At 45.0% G+C, this 14,005-nt stretch overlaps 1 protein-coding gene across 10 annotated transcripts in view, besides 3 other annotated features; it reads right to left on the reverse strand.

Moving 5' to 3' along the window:
* The window catches only part of MYOF (myoferlin), a 175,906-nt gene that overhangs the window by 118,369 nt on the left and 43,532 nt on the right, over nt 1-14,005 (reverse strand). For 9 of the 10 annotated variants that reach the window (XM_047425049.1, NM_133337.3, XM_005269694.6 and 6 more), the window contains 2 exons: nt 6,611-6,719; nt 1,274-1,361 (listed from right to left, as the gene is read on the reverse strand). In XM_047425049.1, the coding sequence (XP_047281005.1) occupies nt 1,274-1,280 (7 nt within the window). In that variant the 5' untranslated portion in view covers nt 1,281-1,361; nt 6,611-6,719. Of the gene's footprint in view, nt 1-1,273; nt 1,362-6,610; nt 6,720-14,005 lie in introns of those variants that run through there. The other variant, XM_047425050.1, reaches the window with a different exon arrangement.
* Nucleotides 10,983-11,544: an enhancer, noted in NCBI's record as "OCT4-NANOG-H3K27ac hESC enhancer chr10:95195537-95196098 (GRCh37/hg19 assembly coordinates)". NCBI's record gives its function as "activates a minimal SCP1, AML or CMV promoter by ChIP-STARR-seq in naive H9 embryonic stem cells {active_cell/tissue: H9 hESC(naive)}" and the evidence as "EXISTENCE:reporter gene assay evidence [ECO:0000049][PMID:30033119]".
* Nucleotides 12,107-13,306: an enhancer, noted in NCBI's record as "BRD4-independent group 4 enhancer chr10:95196661-95197860 (GRCh37/hg19 assembly coordinates)". NCBI's record gives its function as "activates an origin of replication core promoter dependent on BRD2, P300/CBP, MED14 and CDK7 cofactors, and independent of BRD4, by STARR-seq in HCT116 cells {active_cell/tissue: HCT116}" and the evidence as "EXISTENCE:reporter gene assay evidence [ECO:0000049][PMID:35650434]".
* Nucleotides 12,455-12,749: an enhancer, noted in NCBI's record as "tiled region #10561; HepG2 Activating DNase matched - State 5:Enh". NCBI's record gives its function as "activates a minimal TATA promoter and a strong SV40 promoter by Sharpr-MPRA in HepG2 cells {active_cell/tissue: HepG2}" and the evidence as "EXISTENCE:reporter gene assay evidence [ECO:0000049][PMID:27701403]".

The raw sequence follows: 14,005 nt of genomic DNA on the forward strand, positions 1-14,005 counted from the left end.
CTGCAGGTGTAAAGTGAACCCTCGGGCGGCCGGAGAGCCAAGTTCCCAACCAAGAGAAGCAAGAAGAAGATGAGCCCCGAGGAGCCACCTCAGCAACAAGTGCAGGACTTCCTCCCAGGAGGGAGAATTCCATTTTTTTTTTTTTTTTTTTTTTTTTTTGAGACGGAGTTTCACTCTGTTGCCCAGGCTGGAGTGCAGTGGCACAATCTCGGCTCACTGAAACCTCCTCCTCATGGGTTCAAGCAATTCTCCTGTCTCAGCCTCCCGAGTAGCTGGGATTACAGGCCTTCACCACCACACCTGGCCAATTTTTTTGAATTCTTATTAGAGACAAGGTTTCACCATGTTGGCCAGGCTGGTCTCGAACTCCTGACCCCAGGTGATTCACCTGCCTTGGCCTCCCAAAGTGTTGGGATTACAGGCATGAGCCACCACGCCCAGCCAGGAGGGAGAGTTTCAAGGAAGCAGGTGAGTGTGGTGAGATAAGGGGCCCCTCCCTTCCTGGGACACATGCCGAGACTGTGCCTTGGTCATGCATCTTACGGCTGAGGAAGGGACAGAGACTTTTAGCATCACGTCATCCTGGGAAAACACTGAGAGGGGGTCCGACTCAGCTGCATGAGAGGACTGATTGTCTTGTAGGCCCTCCCTCCCTGAGCCCTCAGCCCCAACCCCACCTAGACTGGCACCTGATGGCCCTGAATGACTGGCAACCCATGTCAGAGACCAAGGACAATGCGGGCTATGCTGAAGAGAAGCAATTGCTTAGAGGACCTGGGGCTGTTTGGGGACAAGATGGGGCCGGGGTTAGGGGAGACAGTGAAGGAGGTTCCAGTCGAAAGCCATGCCCATGAGACTGGTGCTGAGAGCAGAGCCCGGTGGTGGCACCTTTGGGAGGTGAGGAGACACACAGAGGAGAGCAGAGGGGCCACTCCTTGAGCCAAACAGCCTGGAGACACTGTATGGGGTGGAAGCCACAAACCTGAAGCAAAGCCCTGGGACATTCTGCTGGAGCCGGCATGTGCTTTTTGTGCTCACCGTGAGGTTGTTCAGTAAAGGGTTGGTTCACCCTTCCCCTCTACCTTGAAGGGCATTTCATAAACAATTGCAATGTCCCAATTCAGGCAGCCCCACCTGCCTCTCGGGGCCCCTGTCTGGGTGGGCAGGGAGCTACAGGCTTGTGATCAATGGCAGGGTTTCTCCAGACACTCTCCTGTGTGTCTTTAGCAGCCTCCCCCTGGGGGTGGCTGGGCCTTCAGAAGGGTCAGCTTACCTCCCATGCCTGGCACGCTGGGCCCGCTCAGGTCATTTGGATGTGGAGCAGAAGGCGGATCATAGCCGATCACCAAGTCAATGGTGGCCTGGGTAGAAATAATTCGTTGCAAATATTATCAGTGCAGGGCACCAGCATGTTATAGACTCAATGCAAGTGACTTCAGCAGGAGCCAAAGTCTTGGAAGGGGTAAGAGAGAGGGAGTAGGTAAGCGAGGCTGGAAACGGGGAGAGGGACACAAGCTCGACTGTTCCTATCCTCCCACTGACAGCCAAGGCAGGGTGGGGAAGTAGCTCCCTGTCACAGGTTGCCAAGTGTATCCTTGCTAAGGGGCCACCTCATCAACAGAGTAAAGTTGTGACAAGCAGGTGTGAATTGTCACACACCTCCATCCTAGACTGGAGATGCCCTCCCATCACAGAATTACAATTACAGAGGGTCACTGTAAATGATTAATTTATTTGTTTGCTCATTGCTTATTTCATTATGAATTGCTGAGATTTATTTTCATGCTTCTTTTTAAAGAAGAATTTTAGGGCTGGGCACGGTGGCTCATGCCTGTAATCCTAGCACTTTGGGAGGCCGAAGCGGGTGGATCACCTGAGGTCAGGAGTTCGACACCAACCTGGCCAACATGGCGAAACCTTGTCTCTACTAAAAATACAAAAATTAACTGGGCATGGTGGCAGGCACCTGTAATCCCAGCTACTCAGAGGCTGAGGCAGAAGAATTGCTTGAACCTGAAGGGGGCGGAGGTTGCAGTGAGCTGAGATCGTGCCACTCACTCCCGCCTAGGCAAAAGAACGAGACTGTCTTTTTTTTTTTTTTTTTTTTTGAGACAGAGTCTCACTCTGTCGCCCAGGCTGGAGTGCAGGGCGCAATCTCGGCTCACTGCAGCCTCTGCCGCCTGGGTTCAAGCAATTCTCCTGCCTCAGCCTCCCGAATGGCTGGGAATACAGGCGTGCACCATCATGCCCGGCTAATATTTTGTATTTTTAGTAGAGATGGGGTTTCATCTTGTTGGCCAGGCTGGTTTCGATCTCCTGACCACGTGATCTGCCCACCTCAGCCTCCCAAAGTGCTGGGATTACAGGAATGAGCCACCGTGCCCGGGGAGACTCTGTCTTAAAACAAAACAAAACAAAACAAAAAAAAACAGAGAGAACTTTAAGTGACTAACAAGGCTGGGTGCAATGGCTTGCACTTTTAATCCCAGCACTGGGAGGCCAAGGTGGGTGGATCACAAGGTCAGGAGTTTGAGACCAGCTTGGCCAACACAGTAAAACCCCATCTCTACTAAAAATACAAAAATTAGCTGGGCTTGGTGGCAGGTGCCTGTAATCCCAGCTGCTCAGGGGGCTGAGGCCGGAGAATCTCTTGAACTCGGGAGGCGGAGGTTGCAGTGAGCCAAGATCGTGCCACTGCACTCCAGCCTGCGTGACAGAGCTAGACTCCGTCTCAAAAAAAAAAAAAAAAAAAAAAGTGACTAACAAAACATGTATATAAAGTTGTGATTCATAAAATAGGATAAAAAAAGGAGAATTGAATCTGGCTAAAGAGGAAACAAATATGCAAACCATAAAGTTAAATATAATTGCCATTTCTGTTGCATAATCTGTGACCTCCGAAATGCCTAGAGCCAAATGAAAAGGGAAACTGAAAACATTATGTAGCTTTCACTACCAACAGAAGGAAACATACTAGTTCCTTACAAGAGACAATGTTATTCCTACTTATAAGAGCTGAGATCAATTTCTCACATGGAGCATTATTTTAGGGCAGAGTTTGCTGTATACAGTACTTTTTAATTTCATGGACCCACAAAATTTCAAACAATTTGCTAGGGGAAATCGACATTGGGTTGCTAACTTGTATTTTGCCAAACACCTGCCCACAACTATCATCTACTATCACAATCATTTTATAAAAGAGAGGCATTTTAACACCAAAAATGAGAAGAGACAAACCTCAGAATAAAGGGAGTCCTTTGCAAATAAGGATGGCACACACGTACACACACACATATGCACACACACACAAGGTGACCAGATAAAATCTGGACATCTGGACAGGACATCATATTTAGGACATAGTTACACTGAGAAATTATTCGTTTTTTATGTGAATTTTTTTTTTTTTTTTTTGAGACAGAGTCTCACTCTGTTGCCCAGGCTGGAGCACAATGGCACAATCTCAGCTCACTGCAGCCTCCGCCTCACACCCGGGTTCCAGTGATTCTCCTGCTTCAGCCTCCTGGGTAGCTGGGATTACAAGCACGTGCCACCATGCCCAGCTAATTTTTGTTTTTTTTTTTTAATAGAGACGGGGTTTCACCATGTTGGCCAGGCTGGTCTCAAACTCCTGACCTCAGATGATCCACCCACCTCAGCCTCCCAAAGTGCTGGGATTATAGGCGTGAGCCACCTTGCCCAGCCTGTATGTGAATTTAAATACACATCCTATGCTTTCATTTGCCACTTTTCCTACATCTGGTAAACACACACACACACACACACACACACACACACACACACACACACAGTGCATTGCCCTTTTTCCATTTTTCTGTTCATCAGTGAATACTCCCTCATATACTGGCACATCGTGTGTCTTGGAACTACTGCTCTGGAAGGGACTGAACAGGATAAGGAATACGACCCTAGCCACAGTTTCACAGCACACAAAGAATCATAAGAGCAGCATCTCATGGCTGAACGCAGGGAGCACTGAAGGGCTTAGTTGCTAAACTGAATCTAAGAATCAAACTTTTCAAACCTAGAAGAACACACAGACAACCACCCCCTTGATCTGTGGTTTTCATGCTGTGTTCTATAACCTCAGGATTCCCAGAGGTGCTCCAGGGACCCCCAAAAGGGTAAGAGGAATTACAGGGGGCAGGGCTTGAGGCCATTTACTTTCCTTACTCCATGATATGGTTCAGATGTTTGTTGCCTCCAAATCTCATGTTGAAATGTGACCTCCAATAGTGGAGTTGGGCCCTGGTGGGAGTTTTTGGGTCATGGGGGCGGATCCCTCACGAAGGGCTTGGTGCCATTCTTGCAGTAATGAGTGAGTTCTCATTCTATTAGTTATTGCAAGGTCTGGTTATTAAAAAGGGTCTGGCCCCTTCCCCCTCTTCTCTCTTGCTCCCTTTCTCACTATGTGTCACGCCTGCTTCCTCTCCACCTTCCCCCACGAGTAAAAGCTTCCTGAGGCCTCACCAGAAGCTGAGCAGATATCGGTGCCATGCTTGTACAGCCTGCAGAACTGTGAGCCAAATAAACCTCTTTTCTTTATAAATTACCCAGCCTCAGGTATTCCTTTATAGCAGTGCCAAATGGACTAACACACTCCACTGAATCACAACAGTTCTGCCATTCTAGGGGTCTACATATGCTTTCTTCTGTGCTTTAAAAAAAGAAGGCAGAAAAATCATTGACTTATACCATCTTTCCTCAGAATCATTTCTCTCAGCTAGGTTTTGGGTAAACAGATGATAGCCAACATTTTAAATGTGTGTTTTGATTACAATGCTGATTTGTGGCAAATCTATAAGTTTTAGAGACCAGATCAGCAAAACTGCCTTTCTCTCATATGGCTGTTGAGAGCCTAGCTTTGCTTACAGGGACTGCATCTTTTAATGTAAATTTCTCTCCCTTTGCCCAGGCTCCCAAGAAAAATAAATTGATTGGAAAATGAAGGGGTTGGAAGTTATGGGCCAAGTACAGTATCTTTATGAGTGCTTCTTATTAATTATATGAAATCTGGGACTTGCGACACTTGAGTCATTTTTTTTTAAAGCACATGCACTAGAGAAAGAGAATTCTGGTCTTGCATCAGAAAATATTAAGATGTACTTATTTTTTTAATTTTTTTTTTTTTGAGATGGAGTCTTGCTCTGTTGCCCAGGCTGGAGTGCAGTGGCGCGATCTTGGCTCACTGCAACCTCGGCCTCCTGGATTCGAGCGATTCTTCTGCCTCAGCCTCCCAAGTAGATGGGACTACAGGCACGTGCCACCATGCCTGGCTAATTTTTTGTATTTTTAGTAGAGATGGGGTTTCACCATGTTAGCCAGGATGGTCTGGATCTCCTGACCTCAAGATCCGCCCGCCTCAGCCTCCCAAAGTGCTGGGATTACAGGCGTGAGCCACCGCGCCCAGCAAGATGTACTTATTGAGAGAGGCTGTGACCAGAAAACATCCAGCACCCAATGTAATAAAGATTATGAGGCCAGGCGTGGTGGCTCATGCCTGTAATCCCAGCACTTTGGTAGGTCGAAGTGGGAGGATCACCTGAGGTCAGGAGTTCGAGACCAGCCTAACCAATATGGTGAAACTCCATCTCTACTAAAAACATAAAAATTAACTGGGCATGGTGGCACGTGCCTATAATCCCAGCTACTCAGGAGGCTGAGGTAGAAGAATCACTTGAACCCAGGAGGCAGAGGTTGCAGTGAGCCGAGATCATGCCACTGCCCTCCAGCCTGGGTGACGGAGTGAGACTCCATCTCAAAAAAAAAAAAAAAAAAAGATTATGATATTACAGTCTTCATATTCCAAGCTTATGTCAATGAACTGCCTTCTACAGAATGTTTCAAAGAATATCTGACACACAGAATTATACATAACCACACAAATGTTAACACCCACATGGCTAAGCACAGAGCTACACCTAGAGGGGGTCACCCTCACTCTATAGAATTATCTCATAGAAAATCAAATCTATCAAATTTGCTAGTTCTGTGATTGAAAGTATAAAATAAGGTCCATGTCGTTTGCAAACGGGCCCAGTTTTTTATTTAAAGCACACACACTTGAGAAAGATCACCAGAAAAATCTCAAAACCAGATTTTTTGTGTGTGTGGTTAGCTAATTACCAATTGATACCTTTTCCTTTTCTTTTCTTTTTTCTTTTTTACCAATTGGTTCTGACAATTTAGACATTTTTCTTTTCTTTTTTTTTTTTTTTTTGTTTGAGATGGAGTTTCTCTCTTGTCACCCAGGCTGGAGTGCAATGGCATGATCTCGGCTCACTACAACCTCCATCTCCTGGGTTCAAGCGAGTCTCCTGCCTCAGCCTCCCAAGTAGCTGGGATTACAGACACCAACCACCATGCCCAGCTAATTTTTGTATTTTTAGTTGGGATGGGGTTTCGGCATGTTGGCCAGGCTGGCCTCGAACTCCTGACCTCAGGTGATCCACCCAAAAGTGCTGGCCTCCCAAAGTGCTGGGATTACAGGTGTGAGCCACCACGCCCGGCCTTAGACCTTTTTCTTAATGAAATTTTGCTCAATCATCTCACTTCAAAGCCATTCAATAAGAGAGAAAACACTCACCCCAGTATCTTGCCCTTTTTCATTTAGCAGGGAGATCAGCTTGTACGGCAGGGATCTGCTCTGGTCACCAGTCAGGTCCTTCAGGGCTACAGTCGCCGTGCCAATTAATCTGCAGGGAAAACAGGAAAGCACATAGCAGCCTAAGTAGGAGATAGGCTTCCAATGACTCAGGACCTCTCAACCCCTACCTCTTCATCTGTTAAATCATTGAAGTCACTATAATGAGATGTGGGCCATTTTGCTATTAGCCTCGCAGGGCATTTTGGCAGTAAACATATCTGCCATCACTTCTCCATTACAAGAGTCAAACTCTGGTGCCTATGAAATTTCTTTCTTTTCTTTTTTTTTTTTTTTTTGAGACAGACTCTTGCTGTGTCACCCAGGCTGGAGTGCACTGGGGTGATCTCCACTCACTGCAGCCTCCACCTCCCAGGTACAAGTGATTCTCCCACCTCAGCCTCCCAAATAGCTGGGATTATAGGCACCCACCACCACGCCCAGCTAATTTTTGTATTTTTCCTAGAGATGGGGTTTCGCCATGTTGGCCAGGCTGGTGGTCTTGAACTCTGACCTCAGGTGATCTGCCCACCTCAGCTTCCCAAAGTGCTGGGATTACAGGCGTGAGTCACCACTCTCAGCCTGAAATTTCAACAGTCATGAATGAGATAGAGGGGCAAGAGGTAAAGACTGAATAGAGTGGCCAGACACAGTGGCTTATGCCTGAAATCCCAGCACTTTGGGAGGCTGAGGTAGAAGGATCAATTGAGTCCAGGAGTTTGAGACCAGCCTGGGCAAGATCATGAGACCCCATCTCTACAAAAAGTTAAAAAATTAATGGGGTGTGATGATGCATGCCTGTAATCCCAGCTACATGGAAGAATAAGATGGGAAGCTCACTTGAACCCAGGAGGTTGAGCTTGCAGTGAGCTATGATTGTATCACTGTACCCAGGCTGGGCGACAGAGTGAGACCTTGTCTCAAAAAAAAAGAAAAAGAAAAAAGAAAGACTAAATATAGCACCCCACTACCCCCCGCCAGAATCCAGGAAGAGAGAAAAGTAGGACAAAATTCAGTAAGAGAGGAAGGCATTTCTCTGTAATAGAAATGTAAAAGGACCCATAAATCTTTGCCCACTGTGAAAATATCCCCCCAAGTAGACCTTCTAGGGTTGTAAATAGGTTGCTAGTTCACTGATAGGGTTAGCTTGCTGTCCCCTGTTTGATGGTGCAGCATTCAAACGTTCAGTGTGTGTACTTCTCTCTTCCTAGAACTTGGTGGATAATATCAGCCTCTGCCACTTACCCATCTATCTCCTATCATACCTAACATATTGGTACAGAAGTACCCTCATGTCTCTGCTCATGAGGAAAGCCCCCTCGACTCAGGGATTCTTGCCTGTTTTACTCACTACTCTAACACAGTACCAGATTATAGTAGATACTTAACAGCAGGTTCCTGAATGAAGGAAAGAATAAATAAGTCTACATATATTGAGAATTAATACTCAAAACATTTTTATAGTTGGGGAACATGATCAAAAACACATATAGAACACACATTAGCCAGTCTATATAAAAATGTAACCTGTGAAAAAGAGCCTGTAAATTGGGGTTATAACATGAAACATGAATGAGAGTAGGTAAAGCGAGGAAGTTCCTTGTGTGAAATCCAATCAGAAAGACAAGAGAGTCACATGCTTTCAGTATGTATCCCGAAAACGGACAGAAGAAATATTTAGAATGTTTTATTTATTTATTTATTTATTTTGAGATGGAGTTTCGTTCTTATTGACCAGCCTGGAGTGCAACGGCGTGATCTCAGCTCACCACAACCTCCGCCTCCCGGGTTTAAGCAATTCTCCTGCCTTAGCCCCTCGAGTAGCTGGGATTACAGGCATGCGCCACCAAGCCCAGCTCATTTTGTATTTTTTCAGTAGAGATGGGATTTCTCCATGTTGGTTAGGCTGGTCTAGAACTCCCAACCTCAGGTGATCCACCTGCCTCAGCCTCTCAAAGTGCTGGGATTACAGGCGTGAGCCGCCGCGCCTGGCCCAATATTTAGAATTTTTAACTGTTACTTACTTATATCCTGTCTACATCGGCACTGACTTGTACTAGCAGATAACATAGAAAATCATTAGCATAAAAATAGAAAGCTAAACATTGAGTCCTTAAAGTGATAGAAGAGATTCCTTATGCCAAAATATCCGGGTGAGGAAACTGTAATTGAACATTTCTATGTAACTCTGGGCTTTTGGGCAAACATGATAATCAGGAAAATTCATCTTGTGGAAATGCATTTTATTTTAAAATATAATACAGTATATTTAAAAATTAGAAAGTAAAAGTTGTTTCTCAGAGGTGCTCCGGGTACGCCACATGGCAGCATAGGCACATCTTTTGGAAGTGATAGATGTTAGCAGCAACTGTATTATTCTCCCCAATCCTCTTCAGTCTTCAGAAATAGGACTAGATTTTAACGCTGGGGTCTGTAACCCAACCACATAGGTCCAGAGACTTGGCAATATTAATAAGTGCCTTCACTTTCTATGAATAGGATATTGCACAAGACCAGGAAATTGCTATAGCACCCTGTTTCACCCAATTTACCCAATGACAGGAGCCCCCTGTACATGGTTTCTTGGAAAAGTGCACTTTCTTGTAAAGAACACCACACAAGACGATCAACAACTGCGATGGACTCTCATCCCTTCTAATATCACAAGCAGAATTTGTAGTTGGGGCCAGGTGCGGTGGCTCATGTCTGTAATCCTAGCACTTTGGGAGGCCAAGGTGGGTGGATCACTTGAGGCCAGGAGTTCAAGACCAGCCTGGCCAACATGGTGAAACCCCGTCTCTACTACAAATACAACAAATTAGCCAGGTGTGGTGGTGCGCACCTGTAATCCCAGCTACTTGGGAGGCTGAGGCAGGAGAATCACTTGAACCGTGAGGCAGAGGTTGCAGTGAGCCAAGATCAGGCCACTGCACTCCAGCCTGGGCAACAGAGCAAGACCCTGTCTCAAAAAAAAAAAAAAAAACAAAAAAGAATCTGTAGTTGGCAATGGAAAAGAAAATTTTTGCCTCCAGAGGGACAATAGGGAACTTTTCAGCCCTTTTTGGTCAATACAGAAATTAATTCTCAGTCAATGCTGAGAATTGGTGGGAATTTTCTCCTGTTTTGTTGTTGTTATTGCTTTTCCTGCTGCTGTCATACATTTAACTTCTACATGTTACAAAACCATAATTTATTGTTATTATTTTTTTCTCAAAACAATAAATTATCTTTTAAGGAAATTTTAAAAATAAAACTATCTTTTACATTAACAGAAAAAAAGATTGGATGGGAATTTTACAGAGTATGTTTTTAGATCAGTATGTTTTTTAGGCTTTTTTACAGGAGTATTTTTTTTCTCCTTACTTAGATTTTTATTCCCGTGACATACTGAAGACACCCATTACTCCATCTCCACCAGACAAAACAGATGAGCCTCCAAACAAGGTGAAAGCCCCGAAAATCTCTTCCACATCTCTCTCAGCCACACAGCACGAGTATTAAGGAGAATTTATTTCCATGGTTTTTAAGTCATGAAATCAGCAAATTGAGTTTTCAAGAAAATCAAAACGTAAAAACTAGAGGTTTAAAAGTCATCCAACTGGTATTAAATGTCTAAATGCGATGAAAGATGTGGAAACAAACTGGACTTCATTCCTTGCAATTTCATAATTCATAGCCTAACCCTAGGACTAAGACAGCAACACTGCACACTTGAATATGTACTGATTTGCTTCTGCTAAAGTCAAAATGACCTGAATCTCTGTCATCAATAAACAAATCTTAGAACAAACAGTGCAACATGCTGGGACAATGCTGAAGTAGAAAGAGGGCCAGCCTGGGGTTGGACCAGCGTGTCTCGACCTCAGCACTACTGACATTTTGAACCCGTTAATTATTTTTATGGGAGGCTATACTGTTCAGCTAGATACCATTTGTGATCATCAAAAACTTCGAGGCACATTGCCAGTTGTTCCCTGGAGGGCAAAACTGCCCCAGGTTGAAAACAACTCCTGTTCTATTCATAACTCTGTGTCCCCACTTTCTTGAAGTACTTGGCTAAGTCACCCAACTCTTCGTTATTTGCAAACAAGTGGATTGAAGCAAAAAATTTCTCAAATGCTTTCCAGCTCTAACAATCTGTTGCTAGGCTTGTATATGTGATGCTTTCTATATATGTCTACAGGAAACTATCTAATGTTAAATATTTCTTTTCTGGCCAGGTGCAGTGGCTCACACCTGTCATCTCACCACTTTGGGAAGCTGAGGTAGGAGGATCACTTGAGTCCAAGGAGCTCCAGACCAGCCTTGGCACACACAAAAAATGAAAAATTAGCTGGTTGTAGTGGCTCACACCAGTAGCCCCAGCTACTTGGGAGGCTGAGTGAGTCGTGAATGTTCCATTGCATTTCAGCCTGGGCAACAGAGCAAGACCTTGTCTCAAAAATAATAATAATAATAATAAATTATTTTCTCTCTTTTTTTTTTTAAAGTCCTACTCTCTAATTTAGAGGGAAAAAAATCTCCTAGAACATGTTCGTGTTAGACCATCTAGAATGCTAGGCAGGGTTTCTGCCTTCAAAGAGATTGTCTTATAATGTCGTGAATCAAACTAGAATTCACACAAGAGTGTCAGGAGAGAAGGTTAGGCCAATAACAGAAATGTGGAATGCAACTCGTGCTATGTAATACAATAGTGGGGCTTATGGTTAACTGGAAAGAGCAGGCTTACCTAAAACACAAAGCCTTCCTGCTGACCTTTTATGGCCTTGAGTGGTTTTACAACCTCCATTCTGACCCAATCAGTATCCGCTAGTTTCCCTTCCCCCAGAGAGGGTAGTAACAGATCACTGACCAGGAAGGGAGTAAAATAACAGAAACCAATTATAAAGGCTAACCTCAATTTCTTCTTTTAGAAATCTTTAGTTCCATATCCTATTTGGAAAGAAAGATTTGCTTTCTCCTAAAATTCTGATGCTTTTGTAGGGGGGACACATAAAAGAAAACTGGATTTATTTATTTATTATTTTTTCTGAAGTAAAGATAGTGTGTTTAGATGACGGCCTGCAAAGACTTTAATCCCAAAAACATTTTTACAACAAGCTGACTTCAGGAAAAATTCAAACAGAACTTCTAGGAGTTTTCATTGTGAATTGAAGAAAATACGCCCCATGGATAAGTCTGAGCTCTGCAGTGACTCCCAGAGCACTCCTGGCTGGGCCTATTTTCTGTGACGTTGCCTGGATACAAAATACTGTGAAAAACTGGGAAATGATGACTTGGCCTCTTACACAGGGGATAAGAACAGTTTGGTCTGACCATAAGCCAATTTCCTTTAAAGGAGGTGACACTAAACCAAGAGTCTTTTTTCTTTTCTATTACTAATGCTATAAAAATGCTAGAATATTATAGTGTGACAGTGAGGGGGAAGCCTTGCTCTATATTTTCATGGAAAAGTAAGTCTCCCCATGAACTCCAACCAACACTAAAACAGGACTACTGTCTCAAAAGGAAATTTTTTAGTGAAAGAATCTCGACGTCCTCTGGCCCTCCAGCTTTCCTTGTGGAATTAATAAACTGCAGATGTCTTCAAAGTGAAGAAAAAGCCAGTCATGCTCCTTTGTCTTTCAGCCCACGAATGTCATAGAGTTTGGAGTCGAGTCTCTATGTGACATCAAATATTACACAATGGGAGCAACTACTTGAAAATGAGATGTTATGATTGGGGGAATGAAAGAGTTTAATTGTAAACCAGTCAACTTAGTCTTGCAAGTATTGGTTAAGAGCCGCTTAAACTGTTTTTTTTTTCTTCTTTCTTCTTCTTCTTAAAATAGACAGAGTATAGTTTGTTTACAAAAGAGAAATGGAAAATGTTCTCCCCTTTAGCACGGCGCAAATGTGAAGGGCCGCATGCCTCTGGAGTGAGTAAGGGCTTTGCCGGCTGACTCTTACTCAGGGGAGCTCACGTATACGAAGTTGTTCCTCTATGCAGCAGAGACACAGCCCACATGATTTCTGGAGGAGGAGTAACTTGGAAATTCCTTCATGAAGGAAGGAAAAAATGTGTTGGAGGCTGAGAAATAAATCACATGTTGCACTGTTTCTGCCTCTAGAGATCGCAGCACGGTCTCAACTTCCCGACCTCTAAGCAGGAACAGCAATCCCAACCTGACTGGGGACAAACACGATTCCAGGCTGCTCCTAGGTCCCCTGTAGGAAACCTAAAAAGATGGTGAGCTTCCCACCCTCGAAGCAGGGGCTCTCAGTTGGCCGTGCCTTGTCATTTTGGCAGGCCTATGGCCCTGGGGTTCCAAGGCTGGACCCCATCTCCCTCCCCAGCACTTCTCCCTCTCCTGGGCCAGTATCTGTCAAGCTCCTGCCCTGATCCCCCGCCAAAAGGCAGGAGAGCCAAGGATGCTCCCTGTGAACTAGACTGGTAGGAGACGCCGTGTCAGCTGACAAAGAGTCTTTGCTTGGCCAAACTTGAGTGGAGCTCCTGAGCCTCCTCCTAAGCCTGTGCTTCCTTATGAAATCCAGTGTTAGCAGAGAATCCTACTCGGTCAGTTTAGCAAACAACCCCCATCCGTGAGATCTGATCACCCTCCATATCTGATCGGGTTTCTCATTCTCTGCCATCCCCCACGTGATGTCCTCAGCAAGAATCCTGTTAGGTTGGGTTAGCCAGAATCCCCCTGACTGTGACATTTCCTCTTAGGAATTTTCCATCCACTGACCCCCCACACTCCTCCTTGGCTATCAATTCCTACTTGCCCATGCTGTATCTGAGTGGCACCCCATCTCTCTTCCTTCCCACGAGTCTCCGTTGCAGGGGTCACTTGAGCTAACTCAGTCCTGAATGAAGCCTTCCTGCCCATACTGTACCAGGTGTCACTGAATAATTCTTTCTCAACACGCCCATGGCAGCAGCTCGTATCACAGGAAACTATTGCTAAGGTAAAATCCCCGCAAAGGGCTGCGCCTCGGTTCACCCCTCCACTTGCACTTGCCCGCCCACCCTCACTCGGCCTCCGCATCGTCTCCCAAAACATTTCTCAGAATGTGCTTCCCCAGACGTCCCTCACCAGGGCGTCTGCAGATTCCCAGATCCCTGAGTCCGACTTTTTCCTTTCGGTAATTCTTAATACCCAGGAAGTCCGAGAAACAATGGTCTAGACAGTGACTCCCAATGGCTGTGGGAGTAAAGTGGAGGAGGTAGAGGGCTAGGGATAGGGAAGGCAGAAGGCAACGCGGGATCTGGGGAGAGGGGGGCTTGAGTGGTTTTGAAAACATTCAGCATGGGAATCCAGGCTCACGTTTGAGAACCACGCATCGAAGTCCAAT

The sequence above is a fragment of the Homo sapiens genome, chromosome 10 (genome assembly GCF_000001405.40).
Source record: "Homo sapiens chromosome 10, GRCh38.p14 Primary Assembly".
NCBI lineage: Eukaryota > Metazoa > Chordata > Mammalia > Primates > Hominidae > Homo > Homo sapiens.